Genomic DNA, 24,230 nt, shown 5'->3' on the forward strand with positions numbered 1-24,230 from the left:
CTTGAACCCAGGAGGTGGAGGTTGCGGTGAGCCGAGATTGTGCCACTGCACTCCAGCCTGGACAACAAGAGCGAAACTCTTGTCTCAAAAAAAAAAAAAAAAAAAAAAAAGCTGTTGTCCTGTTCCTTTGTTTCTCTTTGACTGAAAGAGTGCATGAGGAAAGACAAGACATGGAGATAGAGATGGCTGCTGAGACCATTAGATGAGCTTCACTTAAATACCATTCATTGTTAATTAACCATATGATAAATTTTTTAAAACCACCTTACAGGAAGTATGAGAAAGGCAAAACCTATTAACGCTACCATTATCATGCAGTTATTGTCCTGCACAGTCCTTTCAAATAATTTTCCTTCGTCTATTTTTATATATTAGCAACATTTTCCACACTATCTTGAATCCCATTTTACTATTTGAAGACAAAAGCATTTCATATATTGATCCACTGTTTGTATATACAGGTTGTATATCTGTTATCCAAAATGCTTCAGACCAGAAATGTTTCAAATGATGGATTTTTTTCAGATTTTGAAATATTTGCATATACATGAGATATCTTAAGGATGTAATCCAGGTGTAAATATGTAATTCATTTATGTTATATACATACCTTAAACATATAGCCTGAAGTTACCTTTATATAATATTTTTAATAATTTTGTGCACAAAGTTTGTGTACCTTCAACTATCAGAAAGCAAAGGTATCATTGTGTTAGCCACCCATTTGGACAATCTGTGGTTGTTTGGTCTCACCATCTTTCCTGACTCTGAATTGATATGCTAGCAATAAGCAATCATTTTCTTACCTTTTCACACACAAATACTTAACAATAAAAATAAGAAATACCATTAATGCAATGAAAAAAAGAATGCATTCCAGGTAACTAAGCAGCACAGTTGCATTGTCACCTGTGGTGTCATGTTAGCACTCAACAAATTTCAGATTTTGGAGCGTTTCAGATTTTGGATTTTTGGATGCTCAACCTGTATTATTATTATTATTATTATTTTGAGACGGAGTCTTGCTCTGTGGCCCAGGCTGGAATGCAGTGGCGTGGTCTCGGCTCACTGCAACCTCCGCCTCCCAGGAGATTCAAGCAATTCTCCTGTCTCAGCCTCCCGAGTAGCTGCGATTATAGGCATGTGCCACCACACCTGGCTAATTTTGTATTTTTAGTAGAGACAGGGTTTCTCCATGTTGGTCAGGCTGGTTTTCAACTCCCAACCTCAGATGATCTGCCCACCTCAGCCTCCCATAGTGCTGGGATTACAGGCGTGAGCCACCACGCCCGGCCAACCTGTATTATTTTTAGTGGATACATTATGTTTCTGCTGGGGCACATGTTATAATTTAATCAAAATGTCTACCACTATCAGATATTTCTATCAAATAAAGTGGTTTATCAGTTCAAGAACACTGAGAATCACTGGGTTAGGAAGCTATATGTTAAAACTATTTATTATTTTCCTGCTTTCAAAATAAAATCGCTACCTGCCAAACGATAGCACCAAGTTCACTGGGGATCCTTGATTAGGGAAATAAGAGTCTGCAGTTCTACTTGGAGAATATCCCTTGTGTCACAAACTAGGCTTGCCTGGTGATAGCCTGACTTAGCAAATACTGGCCTGTGGTATCCAGATAAGGCATTCTCTTCTGGCATCACAGAGATCGCTAGCATTTTCAGAATGTTCCATTGATCTCAGCTTCCCTTTTAGAGACCTAGGTGGGTCTTTATTTCTCATAGACAAAGAGGAATGCAATGCCTGTATTTGAACAGGAACATTTATGTGGCCTAGGCAGTTATTTGCCATACTTTCCTCAAGTTTATTTCATTCTGTTCCCAGAAAAACAGACCAGGGAATTGGTTAAGAGGAGTCCTGTTTATAATACACCGTGTACCCTCTTTGCAGGCAAGGTCTCATTTAATTTATTTTTAAAAGTAAGTACATGCTGGGAAGGACTGCTTTTCTAAAGCTTGGGAAATAAGAAACAATAGCAGACATTCACTTGCAGGTTTGGAAAGATAAAGAAATCAAAATACACTGCTAGCCTCATTTATTAGATAAGTGGCAGTATCTTACCTATATCAATTATCAGTCAGCCAAAAACGATGTAAATTTTATTTATCCAACTCCCATTTCTCATTAAGTTCTTCACCCTGGGGGGCACACGCAACCTCAGTTTTATGTGACTACACAAAAATCAAGCCAGAAGCTGTCTTTTCTTTTCTCTGAATAAGCTACATTTTCAAAGACACACTCCCCACACAGAGGCTTGGAGTAACCGTGGGTGCATAACCCAAAGAGAGTTTCTCTTTTGTTGAGAGGAATGGAAGAGAATCAGGTTAGGACTGAAAGGGGTCTTTGAGATCATCTAGTTCAAGGATTATCAAATGCCTTCTATTTGCCAGTGCAAACTCACTACAAAAAAAAAAAAAAAATACCACCATTGGAGCTTTTACAAACACAGATTACCACAACTCAGACCTGGGGATTCTAACAACGGGACAATGCTCATAGTTTATTCTCCTGCTCAGCCAGGTTTGAAAACCAATAAAATAGTCCAACGTTCTGATTTTACAAACGAAAAAACAGAGAGCCAGAGAAGATGACATTCAACTAGTTACTTACAGAGGCAAGATCAAAATTTCTAGCCCTAGTTTTTCCACTCTATCACACTGCCTTCCTAAAACTATAACTACATGCTAAGTGCCCTCAAAAACAATTTGAGGGTTCACCAGGTAAAATGCGAATGAGCTAAATGTTCACTCGTTTGGAGAGCAAAGGAGTGTTCTCCTAAACAAAGAAAACCCAGGTAACTGATTACTTAGAGGGAGAATGTTAGTTTCAGTGCCTTCTGCATGTGCTATGCACTCCCTTTTACCTCAGCACAGCCTCACCTACATGAGATGAAGATCCATAAGAGCAGGAGAAGTTTACTCACTTCCTTTGCAAATATTTATAAATGAATCTAAATACCTCTTATCGGACTGTGCTAGGCCTTGGAAATAGAGCTGATGAACAAAAGAGACCTAGTCTCTACCATAATGAGCTTACAGCTTAGTGGTGGTTAAAGATAATGAAGTAGGTAATTTGTAATTTGGTATGGCGAGTGTTATGATGAGGGGATTACAGGAGAAACCAAACTTTTAAAGCCTTTATATAATTACAAAGGAATGGTTTTTACCAAGAGGAATTTCCTATTGATTCAAAATCGTAGGAGAAATTAAAGATATGAATATATTCATGAAGTAGATATAATTTTAGCATTTCAAAACACCCAACCAACTGACCAATGGCTGTGGTAAAGAGGTTGGCAAATACATTCCCCCCCAAAACAACTAAATAAAGAGGTTGGCAAATAGATTCCCCCAAAAAACAACTATAATACGGGCTAAAATTCTCATAGACAACCATTTCAGAGCTCTGGTAATTGACTAAAGGTAAACAACAAATTGAGAAATGCTTATTCATAAAAGCTGCTAGAACTCTATATAAGAACACTAGGAGTCTGTGGCTTTCTTGCCTATGGTGGCTCACATTCCCTCCTTCCTTTCCCCAGCTCAGTCAGGGCAGTAATTGTGCCCGGGTGAGGCTGACCATGAAAAGTGAGAGCCTCATTGCTGGAGGGAGGATGACTTGATTTGGAGTAGAACATGGAAATCCACATCCCACTATGCCATCAGTAAAAAGTAACAGCACTGGTAATCAGTGGCTCTGCTAATGCCAAGTCAGCAACGCTGGCAGCCTAAAGTTATAGTTCCAGTTGGAAAGAATCATGTGACCAGAGGATGGTCCAGAACTTTAATAGGAAGTTATTTGAAATGAGAGTGCCACAGAGGAGCCACATAAACTCTCCACATACCTCTGGTTGACTGGAAGGATGTGTGCACTCACATGGTAGATCTGAGAGGACCTAGAAAGGAATAAAAATTGAGACTGATTAGACAACTGACTGAAATTTAAAAATACTTCCCAAGTCCACATACAGACCCATGAGCCGAGGAGGAAGAATTATAGGCTCAAAGTGTCTGAGTACAATCTCTAACAAATCATCAGCTGACCACTAAGCTATATAGATATAGATGTTACCCCTGAGAACCCTGGATGAAAAAATAACAATAACTGAGCAGAGACATCAGCAGCCACAAATCACAGGAAAGAAAGTTTCTAAAGGGCTAAATCATCCAAGCAGACAAAATATTACCATCAACAACCAGCAGGGAAAAAAAATCATCATAATCCAGCGTAGTTAAAATATTATTTATCGTGTCCAGTGTTCAGGTAAAATAATCATAAGAAATGAACAGAAATAGCCAAGTATTGCCTACAATCAGGGGAAAGGCAATCAATAGAAATTGACCCTGAGTTGCGTTAGGTGTTGGATTTAGCAGAAAGCTTCAAAGCATATAAATATAGGCAATAAATTAAAGAATTAAAGGAAAATGTGATGGCAATGGTTCTTGAATAGAAAAACTCAATATAAAATATAAAATTCTACAGTTGAAACATTAAAAAAATTAATAGCAGTTTTGAGATGGCAGAAGAAATAATGAACACTAAAATAGGTTACTCGAAATTATGTAACCTGAAGAACACAGAGAAAGATTGAAGAAAAATGTCCCTCGGAGACCTGTGGGACAACCCTACTACCATACATGAAATGGGAGTTCTACAAAGGGAGGAGAAGGGAAACCTGTTTTTAAAAATAATGGCTAAACCTTCTTAAATTTGATGAAAACAATCTACTGATCCAAGAATCTTAAAAAAAAATAGAACAAATACAAAGAGATCCACATTTAAACATCTCATAGTCAAACAGTTGAAAGACAGAGACATAGAAAAAAATCTTAAAAGGAGCAAGAGGAAACTAACTCATCACACACCAGGAACAACAGTATTGTTAATTAACGGCTGACTTCTTATCTGAAACCAGAAAGCACTGTTACAACATTCAAAATTTTTAACTGTTGGTGAATTCATCTATATTGAGCAAAACTATTCTTCAAGAATGAAAGTAAATACATTTCTGGATAAACAAAAACTGAGATATATTGCTATCAGTTCTGCCTTACAGTAAACACTGAAGTTATCTGGATTACAGGAAATAACACCAGATGTTAAGAGGATTCTACAGAAAGAAATGAAAACCGTTAACACCTTGTATTAGGTTGGCGCAAAAGTAATTGCGGTTTTTGCCATTACTTCTAAACCGAAATTACTTTTGCGCCAACCTAAAATGGCAAAAACCACAATTACTTTTGCACCAACCTAATATAAATGTTATCTTTTCTTTATGATGTTAAAAGATATGATTGCATAAATAAATAATTGTAACACTATTTTATTGGGTTTGTCACATATATTGAATTAAAATAAAGTCTTACATTTATGGTGCATTGATATTCAACAATGGTGCCAAGGTGATCTAATGGGGAAAAGACAGGTTCCCAAAACATAAAGGGTCTGCAATAGTTAGACATCCTCCTCCCCCACCAAAAAAAGAAAAGATTTTAGACTGTTACTTCACACCACACTCAAAATGGATCATAGACCTCAATGTAAAAGCCAAAAGTATAGTCTGAAAACATAAATTTCAGAATTCTCAAACTGGGATGAAACCTTGGTTTTGTCAATATGATATTGTCACTAGGGAATTTAAGAACACTCAAACCCTGTCCCCGTCAACCTGGGGAAGATATAAACACAATGAAAAATAGCTGAATAAATCAAAGCACCATTTAATAATTAACTGGGGATGGGCCCCAAATCTGAACAATGAAAACTCTAGTAAACTAGAGAGCTTGAAATTGCATTCCCCTTCTTCAATTGGTATTTTCCCATTTTAAGTGACAGATGATCTCTAAGCTGGCTTAAGAAAACAGAGAATATACTAGACTGTAAATGAAAAGTTCACAGGGGGGCCAGACCCTGTGCCTCATTCCAAAAATCTCCGCACTTTGGGAAGCTGAGATGGGCAGATCACTTGAGCCCAGGAGTTAGAGACCAGCCTGGGCAACATGGCCAAACCCTGTCTCTACAAAAAATACAAAAATTAGCCTGGCATCATGGTACACACCTGTAGTCCCAGCTACTCAGGAGGCTGAGGTGGGAGAATCACCTGGGCCCAGGAGGCAGAGGTGCAGTGAATGGAGATGGTGCCATTGTACTCCAGCCTGGGTGACAGAGTGAGATCCTGTCTCAGAAAAAGTTCACAGGGGCCTGGCTTCAGGGGTACTTTATCCTTAGCTCAATGGCACAAGACCAGGTATCTTTCCATTCATACCTTAACACAACCCTGTGTACTGGCTCTGTTCTCAAGTAGGCTGTCTCCTTGTGATTGGAAAATGCCTGCCAGAAGTTCCAACACCACATCTTACCAGCTCAAGTCTAGTGGAAAAGAGCATTTGCTTAACAGCCCTGGAAAAAAAATTACACTGGTTTCTGATCCCTGAAACGAGTGCTGCGGCCAGGCCGATGTAATGCTCTGATTGCCCAGGCTGGAGTCACATGCTCCATGAACACACAAAGAACATGAATCGAGGGTGGGGAAGAGGGTAGTTTTCCAGACACTGGGTAACTATTTCCAGAAGAGTAAATGGGTGCTAGGAGGTAAAAACAACAGAGGTCCACTATAACCCTATCTTTCTAAGCTAACACATCTCAATTTGTTTCATGCAAAATACAACTAAAAAATATTCATCAGATCCAGAGGGATAGAGAGAGAGGCAGTAGCCAAAATATACATTTAAATACCAAACTGAGAGACAGAGAGAGAGAGAGAGAAATGGAAGGCTGAATCTCTGCCCCATGCAAAGTGGGCCCTTGCCCTAATTATACCAAGCATGGGGAAGAGAAAGAAGGAAGTCCAGGAAAATTTGACAACAACCAGATGGTGGTGGCGGCCAGGTCTACTTGGAAGTAGTAGGCCCTCGAGCAGCCAATCAAGCCAGCTGCGTGGAAAGAAGAGACAGAGCAAGGTGGCAGAGCCTCCTCTCATGAGTGATTGAGTATTGGTCTTTAATATTCCAGCCAAGAGAAAGGAAGAAACAAATTAAAGAGGCACTCTCATGACCTGATCTTTCAGTATGCAGTGATTCTGCCTACTTTGAAAGGGGGCCAAGCATCTGATGAGTATCCATCTGCCTTGGAAAGGAACAAGGAGAATTCTTTTCCAAATACCTACAAATTTAGAGATGATTTCTGAAGCCATAGATGTAAGTATAGTTCTCAGGAGTGTTAACGGCAGAAAGGGGAGGAGAGGGAAGAGGAATGAAAGGAGATAGAGAGGTGTCTAGGACACATGCTGGAGGAGCCCCAGACTTTAAGAGCAGGATTTCTTTTCCTTCACAGGTTTTGATGGCTTTGGTTTTCAAAGTGTCTGAAGGTTAATACCACGCTGGACACCGTCTTCTCTTCTTCATTCCTGATTAGCCAACCACAGGGAACTTGAGCTTGCCTAGAATTGCACAGAGAAGATTTAACAAGGCCGGGCGCGGTGGCTCACGCCTGTAATCCCAGCACTTTGGAAGGCGGAGGCGGGCAGATCACAAGGTCAGGGTATCGAGACCATCCTGGCTAACATGGTGAAACCCCGTCTCTACTAAAACTACAAAAAATTAGCCGGGCATGGAGGTGGGCGCCTGTGGTCCCAGCTACTTGGGAGGCTGAGGCAGGAGAATGGTGTGAACCCGGGAGGCGGAGCTTGCAGTGAGCCAAGATTGTGCCACTGCACTCCAGCCTGGGCAACAGCGCAAGACTCCGTCTCAAAAAAAAAAAAAAAAAAAAAAAAAAGATATAACAAATGGATGAACCACCTTGTGTGTTCAAGACTGAAGCCACGGTAGCCCCTACAGCTAGTGCAGAATACTAGTTATATTTTCTGAGTTACTGAGGAAGTATTTTCTTTGAAATCTGGCTTCAGCATTACAAATCTCTTAATAATGTAAAACTTTGAGAAAGTTACCAATTAAATGCTTGCCAGAATCCTCGAAACAGATTTTCCAAGTAGGTATTATGAGAAAGCAGCTAGGTGCTGGGGATAAAGCAGCCCTAGAAAGAGAAAGGTGCTCACTCTCCTACAAGGAACAGTGTGGCAGCTAAGGGTTTAACACCAGCAAGGAGAGGGAACCTACCAGACGTGAGGCATCTGAGCTGACTGCATTTCCTAAGGGGATTCAGTGTGTGACCAGGGAGAACAGATTGGAAATGAAAACTGATTGCTTTTCAAATCCGAAGTCGACATGTAGATGAATTGTGCCGGCCTTTGGGAATCTTTTATCTGAAATCTTGGGGTGAATTATATTAAGGATAGAAAAACATGGTAAAAAGTATATTGGTGAGGAAATCATTCCTTAAAACCCCAAATCACTCACACCAGGGTTCTCATTAAAATCCTACAAAGAAGGGGCTATTATTATCTTTCCTACTTTACGGAAAGCCAAGGCACACAGACGCTAAGTAAGTTGTCTAAGGTCTAGGTAGAGGTGAAGCTAGGATTAGACCCCAGGTGGTCTTGGTGTCAGAACCAAAGCCTGAAGGCACTGTGCTAACCAAACCTGAGCTTGGTATAGGGGCTGATATCAAACCTAACTTCAGGGAGGCTGTGGACTGAGCAGACATCTGTCCACACCCTGCAAATCTCTCTTGACTGAGTACCAAGCTTGAGCACCTTGAAGCTGCTTGCCTGAGCAGTGATAGGCTGTTGGGAAAGGAGATGGGGGGCGGGATGAAGTGCCGGGGAGGAAGGACAACATCGACCCCCAGCTTTGAAGAACGGGATGCATTTCACACACAGCTCCAGAAAATCAGATCTATCTTCCTTCCAAGATCCGTTTTCCCCTCACTAAGCACACTTAAAGAGGAGAAAATAAATTCTGCCCATCGAAAAAGGGCACGCTGTAATGAAAAACAACCTTAAAGACACTTCAGCACATGAAGTCTTCGAGCTACATCACTGACAATGGTTTACAAGTTTATTTTCAATTTGAGGTTATGCTGAGCAGACATTTTGCTCCGCGCGGCAGTAATTCAGGCGCCGCGCTGCAGCGTCATCTGCTGAGCCCCCATCTGTACAGGAGTGTCTTGTCACAAACGATCAGGTGCAGATTGATCCAGACACATCATCCGCAAAATGGCCAGACAAGAAAGCTTTCAAAATTATTTTCCTCACCGTTTTTGCTAAGTACACAATTCTAAGAAAGTAGATTTCTTGGCAAATACTTTTTTCTCCCTGCAGAAGAGACCACTTTGAGCAGAGCAAAGAAAGTATGAGCTTCTAGTTCATGTTTAACTTCCAGACCTGGCATTTGCTAATTGACAAGTTATGTAAACCCTCTGAACTTGACTTTCTCATTTAGAACATGGGAAGAATACCTCATTTATAAAATGAGGCTGTGGGCAAAATTAAAGGAGATAATAGCCATTATCTTCTTATGTTTCAAAAAAAGAGAGGATATTTTGGTTCACTATTATGTCTCCAGCACTTACATAGCAAAGGCACATAGTACTTGCTTAATAAATAGGGCTGAATGAATAAATGTGTGAATAACACTACCTATGGAAACATATTTAGGGACGTATTTCTTCCTAATTATTTATCTATTTCCTATCACTTCCTAATTATTTCTTCCAAAGGAAAAAAACTAGTTATCCTTCTCGGCTCCTGTTCGTTTCTAAGATGACAGTTTTCCATGATTATTGCAGGTCTGTTTTCCTAGGAATTTCTTCAAATGTTTTGGTTTGGGTGTTTTGTTTCCCACATCCTGTGCCTTTTGCTTTATTAGTTTATTTCCTTGTCTTATAATAAATCATCTTCCTTGAGTTCCCTAAAAAGAACACATTGAAGCTAAATTCTTTCAGTAGTTTCATGTCTAAACATGTCTTTATTCTAGCCTGCTATTGATACACAATTGGATCATAATTACTTGTAATTACATAAGAGAATTCTAGGCTGAAAACTTTTCCCTTTGGAATTTTAAAAGCAATTTTCCATGACTTTCTATAAGCTAGTATTTCTTATTATAGAAAATTTGGAAATTGTGGAAAATCATAAGAAAGAAGATTAAAAGCATCAGTAAGTTTACCACCCGGAGACAATCCTATTAACATTGTAGTATATACTCCTCCAGGACACACAACACACACACATCATATTGTATATGTAATTTTACATCGTGATTTGCTTAATTTCTTATCATGCTATTTTCATGTCATTACATATAACTGAGTTACTTTCAAGGTCCTTCTCAACCCTAAGGATCGAAGATTCCATGAGTTGTTAAAGAGAGATTGTGACATATGGATGGTTTCGGTAAAAGCAGCAGATAGTTTAGGAGTTGGTTTCATTGACACAAACATGAAATAGAATTGTGGCAAAGGAAGGTAAGGTTAACTACCTGCCAAGTGCTTTTCATTTAGGGATATGGAAGGTTCTCAGAGAATCAAAGACATATTACAGATGAGGCTCAATAAATCACCTGAGTATAAACTATAGTCAGGAAAACACATTAGATTTTGAGAAAAGGACACACCTGGAACCCCTGGAAAAAAGTCATTGTGTTCAACCTTTAAAAAGAAAGAGGGCCACTTATAAGCAAAGTATTCAAGGTCCTGAATGGGAAATAGGTAATCAGTGCCAGTTTCAAACATTTCCAATTAAAGATGACAAGTGATAAGAGAAATGGCTACCCAGCTAAACACAGAGCCTTTGGTGCTGTATAAGCACATAGCCTAAGTGAGCTTCAGAAAGAAATGAAGAAGAGGAAGGTAAAGGAAAATAGAGCAATTAGCTAGGAATGGAAAGTGGTATGCAGCGATGATGGCTCCAGCTGAGGACAAAAATAAGAAGCACTTAGACAAACCTATCTTGGTGGTGCTGACTTCCTGTTATGGTCCTGGTACCAATTCACCCTCCTCAACCTTCTATTGCAATAACAATGAAAGGCTATAATGAGTTACAAAGTTGTGTCAGCACTGAAAATTAGAAATACTTATCAACATTTTGACACTCTGGAAGGAATTTCTACTAGACAAATCCCAGGTGAGGTCAAGTAGTGGAAATGACAGTGGAAAACAAATACTTTACCAGGTGAGATAGAAGAGTAGCTGCAAATTGAAGAAAGAGAGAAAGAGAGGAAAGGATGGGGAAGGAGGGAAGGAGGGAAGGAGGGGAGGATAAGGGAAGGAGAGAGACTGCTTCCTTATCTTTATCCAAATTTAGTTCCAAAAATGAATCAACAGATTTCTAGAGAGACTAGCTGGAGTTTAATTATTTTGTTCCCGGTCATCTCTTCAGCCCACAGCCATGGTATCCTACTACTGCTATAACAAATTACCAAAATGTAGCAACTTAGAATAGTACAGATGTATTATATTATCTTCCAGTTTTGTAGGTCAGAAGTCCTGACTTCTGGGTACTGGATCTTACTGGGCTAAAATTAAGGTGTTGGCAGGTCTGCATCCCTTCTGGGGACCAGTGCAGGATCAATCTCCTTGCCTTTTCCAGCTTCTAAAGGCCACCTGCATTCCACGGATCACAGTCCCCTTCCTTCGTGTTCAAAGACAGCAACAGGCCAGGCATGGTGGCTCACACCTGTAATCCCAGCACTTTGGGAGGCCAAAGTGGATGATCACTTGAGGTCAGGAGTTTGAGACCAGCGTGGCGAACACAGGGAAGCCCCATCTCCACTTAAAAAAAATACAAAATCAGCCGGGCGTAGTGGCACACATCTGTAGTCCCAGCTACTAAGGAGATTGAGGCACAAGAATCACTTGTACCCAGGATATGGAGGTTGCAGTGAGCCGAGATCGCACCACAGCACTCCAGCCTGAGTAACAGAGTGAGACGCCATCTCAAAAAAAAAAAAAAAGCAACAGTAGGTTGACTTCTGTTAAAGCAAACTAAATATGGCCTGAGAAGGACTCCCTACCTCTATATTTGAGTCCTTGCAGATGAATCATAACCTAGTTTAATAGGCAGACAACACTGAAAACCTAATTTAGGAGTATGCACCTGTAACAATGGCTGAGTCTTGGCCAATCCCAGCGGTCATACTTCAACCATTCATAGATTGCTGAGTATTCAAAATGTGTTCAAATAAGGCAAACACCAACCTGTAACCAATCCGGGGGTTTCTGCACCTGACTGCCGTTTTCTGTACATTACTTCCCTTTTTTTGTCTGTAAATTTGTTCTGACCACGAGGCATCCCCGGAGTCTCTCTGAATCTGCTGTAATTCTGGGGGCTGCTGGATGCACGAATCATTCATTGCTCAGTCTCCCTTAAATTTAATTCAGCTGCAGACTCAATTAGTCTCCTTTAAATTTAATTCAGCTGCAGTTTTTCTTTAAACACTTCTCACATTGCATCACTCTGGCCTCCTCTTCCACCTTCCTCTTCCACTTTAAAGAGCCCTCATGATTATTGTGGGCCCATCAGATAATCCAGAATAACCTCCTTGTCTTAAAGTTAACTGATTAGCAATCTTTACCTGCTACCTTCATTTCCCTTTGCCATGTAAAATAACATACAGTATTCACAAGTCCAGGATATTAGGGTCAGGATATCTTTGAAGAGGGGGCCGTCATTATTCTGCCTACTGCAGACATTAAACAGGTTTTATCAGTAAAAAGAAACATCTTGAATTCTGGGTATGGAAGCTCCAAAAAGCATCTCCTCACTATCAGATACACAGCCTCTCTCACTGGGAAGTGGGAGATTGATTACTGGGAACATAAACAACAGAACCATCTACTCATGGATTTGATTTGTTGCTTTGTTTTAAATGAATTACTAATCTATTCTTATAGTTGGAAAATAGAATACAACTACTATTGGCATATTCTTGTGCATACTGTACAGTTTATGCATATTTGGGTACACGATTACAAATATATCTATATTTTATAAATAGATTTTATATGCTTACAGAAATGTTACGTTCACAGCAAAATTGAACTTAAGGTATAGAGATTTCCCATAAACCTCCTGCCCCACCCATGCATAGCTTCCCCCATTATCGCATCTTTCATGAGAGTGGTACATTTGTTACAATTGATGAACCTACATTGACACATTATATTCACCCAAAGTCTATGGTTTACATTAGGATTCACTCATGGTGTCCTGCATTCTATGGATATTGATGAAAATATATGGACATGCATGCAATGCAAAAATACAGTGTCATACAGAGTAGTTTTACTACCCTAAAAATACTCTGTTCTCTGCCAGTTTTTCCCTCCCTACTCCCCAGTACCTGCCAACTAGTGATTTTTTACTCTCACCATAGTTTTGCCTTTTTTGGGAATGTCATGTAGTTGGAATAATATCATATGTGGGCTTTCAGATGGGCTTCTTTCACATAGCAATATGCATTTCAGTTTCCTCCATGTCTTTTCATGGCTTGATAGCTGACTTTTTTTAGTGCTGAATAATATTCAATTGCTTGGATGCATCACAGTAGATTTATTCACCTACTGATGGACATCTTGGTTTCTTCCAAGTTCTGGCAATTGTGAATGAAACTGCTGTAATTGTCCATGCGCATGTTTTTGTGTGGACGTAAATTTTCCACTCTTTTGGGTAAATACTAAGGAGTACAATGGCCGAATCTTATGGTAAGAGTATATTTAGTTTTGTAAGAAACCACCAAACTGTCTTCCAAAGTGGCTCTACAATTTTTCCTTCCCACTAGCAGTGAACAAGAGTTCCTGTTGCTCCACATCCTTGACAGCATTTGGTGTTGACAGTGTTCTGGATTTTAGCCATTCTAATAGGTGCATAGCGGTATCTCGTTGTTTTAACTTCATTTCCCCGATGACAGATGATATGGAGCATCTTTTCATCTGCTTTACTGCCATCTGTAAATCTTCTTTGGTGAAATAATTCTTAAGGTCTTTGGCCCATTTTTAAATCTTGTTGGTGTTCTTATTGTTGAGTTTGGTTTTCTGTGTATTCTTTGTTGTTGTTGTTTTTGTTTGTTTGTTTGTTTGTTTGTTTCTGGGGTCTTGCTCTCTGTTGCCCAGGCTGGAGTGCAGTGGTGCCATCTCAGCTCACTGCAACCTCAGCTTCCTGGGCTCAAGCGGCTGTCCTACCTCTGCCTCCCAAGTAGCTGGGACTACTACTTGCACCACCACACCAGGCTAACTTTTGTATTTTTAGTACAGACAGGGTTTCCGCATGTTGGCCAGGCTGGCCTTGAACTCCTGGGCTCATGCAATCAGCCCACCTGACCTCCCAAAGTACTGGAATTACAGGCATGAGCCACTGTGCCTGCCTTTATCGTTGTTTTAAGAGTTCTTTGTATATTTTGGATAATAGTCCTATATTTGATATGTCTTTTCCAAGTATTTTCTGTCATTCTATGGCTCATGTTTTCATTCTCATGACAGTGTCTTTTCCAAAGCATAAATACTTAATTTTAAGTAAGACCAGCTTATTAATTCTTTTTTTCACGGATTGTGCCTTTAATGTTGCAACTAGAGAGTCATCACCAAATCCGGGGTCCTTTAGATTTTCCCATGTTATCTTCTAAGAGTTTTACGGTTTGGGTCTAGATTCTTTTTTTTTTTTTTTGCATGTAGATGTCAATTGTTCCAGCACCAGCTGAAAATTTTATAGCCCATTTTTGACTCCTAAATTTGCATACTCTGTACCATAATTTTTACTGTGGTAAAAAAAAATGCATCAAATTTAAGTTAAGTATTTCTAAGTGTACAGTTCAGTAGTGTTAAGTATATTCACATTGTTGTATAACCAGTCTCCAGAATGTTTTCATCTTATAAAACTGAAACTCTATCCATTAAACAACAACTTCCTATTCCCCCTCCCCTCAGACCTAGGACACCATCATTCTACTTTATATTTTTATGAATTTGACTATTCTAGTGCCTTATATAAGTGGAATCATACAGTATTTGTCTTTTTGTGACTGGCATCTTTCATTTGGCATAATGTCCTCAAGGTTCATCCATGGTGTAGCATGTCAGGATTTCCTTCCTTTTTAAGGCTGACTAATATTCTACTGCATGTTTATACCACATTTAATTCATTCACTCATCCAGCAATGGACACTGGGGTTGCTTCCATCTCTTGACTATTGTGCATAGTGCTGCTGTTAATATGGACATATAACATACTGATGCTTTCATCTCATCAAGGTTATAATGTGGAGATTTTTCAATATGATGGGCAGAGAGCTTTTTGGTTTTCTTTTTTAAAAATATCGTCATCGTATTTTTTTTGTAGTTGATGGGCCACTATATAGTTGACTAATCCCATGCTAAATATATCTATGCTCTTTTTACTTAGCAGTTTTTGAAGGGAGAAAATTTGTATCCCCCCTAAATCTATTCATTTCCAAGTTTTCTAAGGAGAAATAAACAGTAAGAGATTCTCAGATATTTTAACTGAACTCTGATAAAATTAGATGCATATTCGTGTTGATCTAGAAAGAAATAAAAATACTGAATTCAAGGTTGTAGAAGTCTTGATAGCATTGAAAGTGTTTAAACAAAAGATTACATAAATATAGTTGTCATAACAAGGCTACATAACTAAACATATTTCAAAAATAGAAGTTGAAGGAGAAAATCTAATATCAGTTAATAATGATTTGAAAATGATCTGAATGAAAGAGTTCAGATTTTATAACAAACACTAGAATGTGTTAGAAAAAAAATTAGAGGAAATAAAGATTTGCTAGAGTCTTTAGCCTGTGTAAAAAAGAGTCAAAAGTCTTTATCCTTTTCTTGTTTTTGACAATTCAAGAAATATCAGTCAAAACATGTTTGACATAAAGATTACTACTAACAGAATTTAAAAGTATATGTATACATCACAAGTAATCAAAGAAAAATGATGTCTCTCTACCTGAAATCCTTAGAGGAGGAAGAAAAGGTAACAGCATTGAGAAAAATATGAAAGAAAATGAAAATAATAAGACAGATGACAAAAGAAATTCAAACATGAAAGAAGAGAAGAACACAGTACCCTCAATAAAGCCAAAGAACCCATGGAGTCAAGAGAAAAGGGTTAGGTCAAAAGAAATCTTATCTGAATAAATAAAAATTACCCAAACAGAAAAAAATAATTACAAATAGGTTAAGGAAGCTCAAAACTGCCCATGCTATCAGGCCATAAGAAAAAAAAAAAAAAAGGCAAGTGCTATATTTGAGATAGGAGACTGAGAACCATGTACTTGATGCAAGGGAACTAGGAATGGGGATTAGCACCTCCTTCAACCACATACTAGGAAAAGAGGAAGCTCAGGGACTTATTCCTGAGTGAGGCTGTGCATAAAAGTCAGACACTGAAAGATCCATAAGCTCCGTATTAAAAGTAGAGCACATAGATATAAACTGGAAGGACTCATGGTCAGTTTGGTAAAATACATATACTCCCAAAAGAAATGTGCAAAGAAAGTTATTTAAGACTCTGCTACACTTTCTGCATACAAGAAAGATGGCAGAAGTCCACTGCATTGAGAAAAACCTGGATGAAAACAAAAAAATCTCCAAAGTTAAATATTTGAAGTGTAAGACACATCTTTTAGGAAAGGACATATTTTTAGGTATCCATCTTAAGAGTGTAGAATACAATTACATAAAAGAAAGTTGGTTAATAGTATTAATATAGTTAACTTACAAGGTAGGAGAGAGGTTGTAAAATGTAAGTGAAAGGCATGATCTTTTTTTGATGATGCTATGAAAAAGACGAAAATTAATTTATTAAAAGCTGAGAATTCAATCAACGTTCATATGGAGGAGGAGAACATTCTTTGTAATCATCATATTTCAGAACTAAAGGAGACCTCAAAGGACATTCATACTACTACTGTATTAGAAAATGAAGACATAAAACAATCTATGAGAAGTAATGAAGGGGAGAAAACAAATCAGTTTTAAAAATATTTAACAGGTGTCTATTATTTCCACCCCCCCAAAGGGGAGAAGGTGGGAAAAGGGTGAGGGTTGAAAAATTACCTGTTGGGTACAATGTTCAATATTTGGGTGATGGTTATGCCAGAAGCTCAATCCTCACCATTATGCGATATACGCATGGAATAAACATGCAGATGTACCCCCTGAAACTAAAATTTAAAGTAAAATTTAAAAAAATAGTCAACAAGCAGGGTGGTGGTGTGCACCTGTAGTTCCAGCACTCAGGAAGCTGAGGTGGGAGGATTGCTTGAGCCCAGGAGCTCAAGGCTTTATTGCACCTGTGAATAACTACTGCACTCTAGCCTAGGCAACATAGCAAGACTGCATCTCTTTAAAAAAAAAAAAAAGAAAAAATAGCCAGCCCGGCATGATGGCTCATGCCTGTAATCCCAGCACTTTGGGAGGCCAAGGTGGGTGGATCACTTGAGGCCAGGAGTTCGAGACCAGCCTAGCCAACATGGTGAAACCCTGTCTCTACTGAAAATACAAAAAAAATTAGCCAGGCATGGTGGTGGGTGCCTGTAATCCCAGCTATTTGGGTGGCTGAGGCAGGAGAATCGCTTGAACCCGGGAGGCAGAGGATGCAGTGAGCTGAGATTGCGCCACTGCACTCCAGCCTGGGCAACAGAACGAGACTCTGCCTCAAAAAAAAAAAAAAAAAAAAAAAAAAAGCCAAAAGTGGTTGGTAATGTTTCATATATCCAATTTTCTCAACAGAAAGAGTAAAGCAAAGGCTTAGAGGAGTGAATTAGTTATTCTTATTTCCAAGTGAATTTATTATGTGGATAAATAGAAAATATAAATGAAGAAATTTGAGAGGAAATGAAGACCTTTTAAAAATAGGAAGTATTTTTGTTTATAGATTGCTACAAAAAAAGAAAAAGAAAAATCAGAGAGCAAACAAAAACCAAGGTTTTTACATTTAAACCCTGAAAATCAGAAGAAAAAGAATTAGGGGGCAAATAAAGAAAAGTAACTGATTTCAGATTGTATGGAAGGTGAATCTACAGATGATGTGGGAGGTTACCAGCTAGCTTCAGTGAAGAAGAAAAGGCCCAATGAGCAGGGAAGAGACCCAGCTAAACTGAGCCTGAAATGTCAATGATCTGATCTTCCAATTTGATATCTTTTTTTTCTTTTTCTTCCCCCCTAGCAATGCTCAGCAGCCCGGAAACTAAAGTAGAGAGAAATTAAGATGAGTTGCCAACATACCACTGGGATTTACCCCAGAACAGGAAGATTTCAAAATAACTTTGCCACTGCTCCCCGATGCAGCCCACTTCATTAGGGCTGTTGGATCCCCTCACCAGTATTGGTGGTTCCTTCTCTCCTGCTGCTTTGGAAACAATCAGCCTCTCAGAGGTCATCAGAATAGGCGCTGGTTCCTTGGAATAAAGACCAGGAAGCTCCCCAACCTGAAAGACCTCAGTCTCTGAAATCTCATCAGAGATTCATGAATTTAGATCTGGGAGGCAGCTTTGCCTAGCTTCACACATGCTCTTCCTACAACTTGGGAAGCTCCCTTTCCTCCCTTATCCTTCCTAGCTTAGCATGATGTCATTCCTCAAGGAAGCCATGCCTGAATTCTCTTCATATCACTGTCACAGCCATAACTCCATATCTATGTACCAATTAAACAAAATTGTGTAATTTTGCCTGATTATCAGGACAAGAACCATATATATTTGATCACTGTTGAATCTTCAATATAGAGTAAAGCACATTATAATAAATATGGTATATATCAATGAATGAACATACGATATCCTTCAGAGGAATAAGACCTTAAAGCAGTGACCCTCAAAGTGTGGTCCTTGGACTAGCAGTAACTGCATTATCTAAGAACTTGCTTCACATGGAAATTCTCAGGCCTTGTCTGAGACCTACTGAATCAGAAACTCTAGGGGTTAAGCCTAGACATCTGTGTTTTAACAAACTCCTCAGATGATTTTACTAAATGCTAAAGTTTTACAAGTACAAATTTAAAGTTAAGTCTTAATCAATTTCTGTATTAAGGCAGAGGACACAGACCAAATGCCTACAAGGATAATGAAAGTTTTATAAATGAGTGAGTATAAAGGAAACAGGTATGAAACGAGAAGGAGTGGTGGGGACTGTGGGAAAGTCCATGCTCAGCCTCAAGGGTAAACTGCTATTCTGCACTCTGAGTTCTTGTCACTGTCCCCAGGCCAAATCTTTACATTTTCTAAGAGATTCTGGATAATTGAGTTTTGATGTGACATTTACCCATTATTAATCTTGTAGAGGCTACACAAAATATATCTGTCAGCCAAACCTGTGGACAGTGCTTGCTTTAGGGTGTCATCCAGGGCATCACAGATGCTTCAGGTTTATTGGTGGGGACCCCAGGCAAGGGTCAAAATAGGAGGAGAGACAGTTACACCTTGTGCCTATTTGTTTTATTTTGTTTCTCAGGATCTGGTCCTGGTTACAAGACAAAAAAGAAGGAAGTACTTGGTTTTCTCAGCTGGGCCAGTTTCATCTCAGTCTAGCAGTAGATTTTATATAAAAACTTAATACAGTGCTTGCTCTAAGAATTTACAGGAGAATTGGTTATAGAAATTTCACAAGAGGAAGCAGTATAATAAATTTTCAACAAAATTACAGGCTTTTGCTTTGAATGTCAACTCAATGCCCAATTATACTGAGAGATGTGGAGACTAATGGTTTGCGGATGTTCATTTTGTTTTGTCAAGTTTTATTTTCAGACAGTTCTTTTCCTTTACAGGTTACGTAATTGCCCAAACCTATATGGAAATAGCTAGATCTTTAAAAACAACAACAAAACCAAAACGAGAGCAAAAAGCAAACCAGCAAATAAGTGAATACCGTGAGTGCTTTCATGCCCCTCTCAAACTCTGAAATTTCATTCCAATGAATTTCCTTTCAGCTTCAGAAACTGACAAATGAAGAATTTAATCAAAGACAAGTCCTGCCTGATATGTAAAACACAAATTGAGGGAGTTCTTCAGGAGATTGTTGCAGAGAAATAGGTTTAATTTCTTAAGAGGCTTTATAATGATAGCTTGTGTCTCCACATCAACTAGTAAAAGAACAACAAAAACTCAGAGGAATTCTAGTAAAACCCACACATAAAAACACTAATGAGACAGTTAAATTACCCATTGGAAGAGTAGAAAAGCAAATTGAGAGGTTTTTAGTCAGAGGAATGTTCATGTTGCCCAAGTAAACAAAGACTAGTGAGCGAATAAAAGGAAGAAAAAGAACTTCTCATTCTCCTGGGAACTATTCTGTAAGGAATTCTTGGAAATGAGCAGCTACAGAAACCTGCAGGTAAAATGAGGCTATATGCCTGCAAGAAAACACGCGGAACCTAGGAGAGGAGAGAGCCATTGCACCCCATTCCAGGGAGTCAGGCCCAGACTCAGGAGGAGCAAGGACAGTGACTGGGTAGGTGTCAAAGTCTTCAGGATTCCACTCAAGGAAAACCATATATCTTGTAGACCTCTGCCAGAGCACTGGGAAGAATGGTAGGTAATAAGGAGTCCTATCCTTTTTTTTTTTTTGGATGGAGTTTCGCTTTTGTCACCCAGGCTGGAGTGCAATGGTGCGATCTCAGCTCACTGCAACCTCTGCCTTCTGGGTTCAAGCAATTCTCCTGCCTCAGCCTCCCGAGTAGCTGGGATTACAGGCACCTGCCATCACACCCGGCTAATTTTTGTATTTTTAGTAGATACAGGGTTTCACAATGTTGGCCAGGCTGGTGTCAAGCTCCTGACCTCGGGTGATCCACCTGCCTCGGCCTCCCAAAGTACTGGGATTACAGGCGTGCGCAACCATGCCCAGCTGGGAGTCCTGTCCTTAATTGATGCCAGGATTTTAGTGTCAAATAATTAGAGCCTTTAAAAGGTTTTTCATTTTTAGAAAAAACATCATTTTTTGAGATTATAAAAATGATATATGTGAATATTAAAACTTCAGAAAATATAGAAAAGCACAAAGAAGAAAGTTAAAACCATCTACAATACTACCACCTAGGTATAACAACTACTAATATTGTATACACATCTTCCAGTTTTATGTAGTTATATAGGTATGATTAAAGATACGGATATTGATATTGGGATCAAACTATACAACCTATGAGGGGTCTTCAAATGCTTATGGAAAATGCATATTATAAAAATACTATGTATGGGCAGAGCATGGTGGCTCACACCTGTAATCCCAGCACTTTGGGAGGCTGAGGTGGGAGGATCACTTGAGGCCAAGATTTTGAGACCACCCTGGCCAACATGACGAAACCCCATCTCCACTAAAAATACAAAAATTAGTCAGGCGAGGTGGCGCACATCTGTAATTCCAGCTACTCGGGTGGCTGAGGCATGAGAATTGTTGAACCCAGGAGGCGGAGGGTGCAGTAAATCAAGATTGTGCCACTGCACACCAGCCTGGGTGACAGAGCAAGACTGTCTCAAAAACAAAAACAAAAACAAAAAAACACTATGCATGAATTCAAACATTTTTTTGCACCAAAATAAACTCATACTAACTTGTTATAACGTGTCTGAAGAGGATGTAGTTTGAGGCACTAAGAAGGATAAGACATCAATTTGAAAAGAGCCCCTAGCAGAGCAACATGTATTCTCCTAAAACTGAAGCAAGAACAAACATCAAATTTATGGTGAAGCTGGGCTGGAAGAATGGTGAAATCACTAATGCTTTATGAAAAGCTCATGGGGACAATACCCCCCCAACCAAAATCAGCAGTTTACAAGTGATCATTTTGAGAAGAGATGAGATCATATTGAAGATGAAGCCTGCAGCAGCAGACCATCCACATCAATTTATGACAAAAAAATTGATTTTGTTCATGCCTTAAATCAAGAAAACCAAAGATTAACAGCAGAAACAGCAGCCAACACCATAGACATCTCAATTGGTTCAGTTTACACAACTGACTGGAAAATTAAACTTGAGCACAGTTTCCACTTGATGGGTGCCAAAATTATCGTACCTAGATTAGCTGCAGACAAGTGCAGAGCTTTCAGTGAAAATTTTAAAGAGGTGGGATCAAGATTCTTAAGCATTTCTTCAAAGAATTCAACAGGAGATGGAATATGGCTTTACCAGTATGATCCTGAAGACAAAGCACAATCACAGCAGTGGCTACCAAGAGGTGGAAGTGGTCCAGGCAAAGCAAATGAAATTGGTCAAAAGCAAAGGTCATGGCAACAATTTTGGAGGATGCTCAAGGCATTTTGCTTATTGATGTTCTATAGGGCCAAAGAGCAATAACACCTGCTTATTATAAGAGTGTTTTGAGAAAATTAGCCAAAGCTTTAGCAGAAAAATGCACAAGAAAGCTACACCAGAGAGTCCTTCTCCACCACAACAATGTTCCTGCTCATTCCTCTCATCAAACAAGGGCAATTTTGTGAGAGTTTAGATGGGAAATCATTAGGCATCCACCTTACAGTCCTAATTTGGCTTCTTCTGTATTCTTTTTTGTTTCCTAATCTTTAAAAATCTGTTAAAAAGCCCATTTTTCTTCAGTCAATAATGTAAAAAAACTCCACTGATATGGTTAAATTCCCAAGACCCTCAGTTCTTTAGGGATGGACTAAATGGCTGGTATCATCACTTACAAAAGAAAGAAGAAATTAGCCAGTAGTGGTGGCACGTGCCTGTACTCCCAGCTACTCGGGAGTCTGATGTGGGAGGATCTCTTGAGCCCAGGAGGTGGAGGCTGCAGTGGATTGCATCACTGCACCCCAGCCTGGGTGACAGTGAGAACTTGTCTCAAAAAAATAATAATAAAAATAAAGGTAATTCAGGCAGATTGAAAATGAAAATGAAAGGAGAACATCAGAGCAATGCAAACAAAAAGAAAGCAAAGGTCCCAAACTTAATATCAGAAAAGGTATAATTTGGGACCAAAAGCTATAAACAAGACACAGAAGGGTTCTTTGTGTGTATTAAAAGTGCATAAGAAAATTGTAGTAAGTATGAATATCTATGAAGCAAGCAACTTGGTAGCAACTTTCATAAATCAGAAACTTCAGGAATTTAAGGAGATAAAGGCAGAAATACATAAATAAGAAGAAACTTTAATTCATTTCTCTCAGGCAATGACTAAATAAGTGGATAAAACAATAAATATTAATATCAAAATCTGTATCCTGGAAGCAGAGAATATTTCTACTTTTCAAGAATCTAAATAATATTTTTCATAAAATTTAATTAGATCATAAAGAAAAACTGTGTTCCAAAGGTAGAAATGGTATAATCACTGACCAGAAATTAATAACAATACCAGAAAACTAAAAGCCCTACTAGCTGGAAATCTACACACTGTGTCTTAACTATTGCAACAAAGAGAAACTCCAAAATGAATGTTAGAATACTTTGAAAATAATAGGAATATAAATACTCATGTCAGAATCTGTGTGATGGACTAAAGCAATATTTGGGAAAAATGCAGAGATTTCAATACTTGTATTAAGGGAAAAAAATGAAAACAAGTTCATTAAACATTCAACATAAGACTTTAGAAAAGGAGCAGTGAAATAAAACAAAGGAAAGCAGAATAAAACAATCAATACAGATGAATGTAGAAAGTAATCAATTAAGGAACAAATGAATAATAGAACTAATAAAGAAATACAAATAGGACAGGCGCTGTGGCTCACACCTGTAATCACAGCACTTTGGGAGGCCGAGGCGGGCAGATCACCTGAGATCAGGAGTTTGAGACCAGCCTGACCAATATGATGAAACCCCGTCACTACTAAAAATACAAAAATTAGCGGGGCATGGTGGCATGTGCCTGTAATCCCAGCTACTCAGGAGGCTGAGACAGGAGAATCGCTTGAACCTGGGAGGCAGAGGCTGCAGTGAGATTACGCCATTGCACTCCAGCCTGGGCAACAAGAGCAAAACTCATCTCAAAAAAAAAAAGAGAGAGAAAAGAAATACAAATGCTACTTATTTGAAAAAATACATAAACCCATAACAAATGCATTAAGAAAATAGGAGTAAGCATAAATACACAAAATAAGAAATAATGAGGAAGAAGACATTATATTTACAGAGAAAATTAAAGGAATCATGAAACGTAACTTTGCTCAATTTCAATTGTTTAAAAATTCAGATAAAATAGATAAGTTTCTAGGTAAATATAATTTACCAACACAGACTCAGGTATAGATAAAATAAATAAACATATTAATTAAATAGAACAAAATAGAAAGCCATTTCATAAAGCTTCCCTGCAGTCTCTTCCCCCCAATAAAAGCACACAC

At 38.8% G+C, this 24,230-nt stretch overlaps 1 long non-coding RNA gene across 1 annotated transcript in view; it reads right to left on the minus strand.

Annotated features, from left to right (window-relative positions):
* B3GALT1-AS1 (B3GALT1 antisense RNA 1) overlaps positions 1 to 24,230 on the minus strand; it is a 126,371-nt gene that overhangs the window by 82,093 nt on the left and 20,048 nt on the right. Inside the window, exon 2 of the long non-coding RNA NR_131227.1 lies at positions 3,866 to 3,916. This is a non-coding gene — a long non-coding RNA (B3GALT1 antisense RNA 1). The remainder of the gene's footprint in view (positions 1 to 3,865; positions 3,917 to 24,230) is intronic.

The sequence above is a fragment of the Homo sapiens genome, chromosome 2 (genome assembly GCF_000001405.40).
Source record: "Homo sapiens chromosome 2, GRCh38.p14 Primary Assembly".
Taxonomy (NCBI): domain Eukaryota; kingdom Metazoa; phylum Chordata; class Mammalia; order Primates; family Hominidae; genus Homo; species Homo sapiens.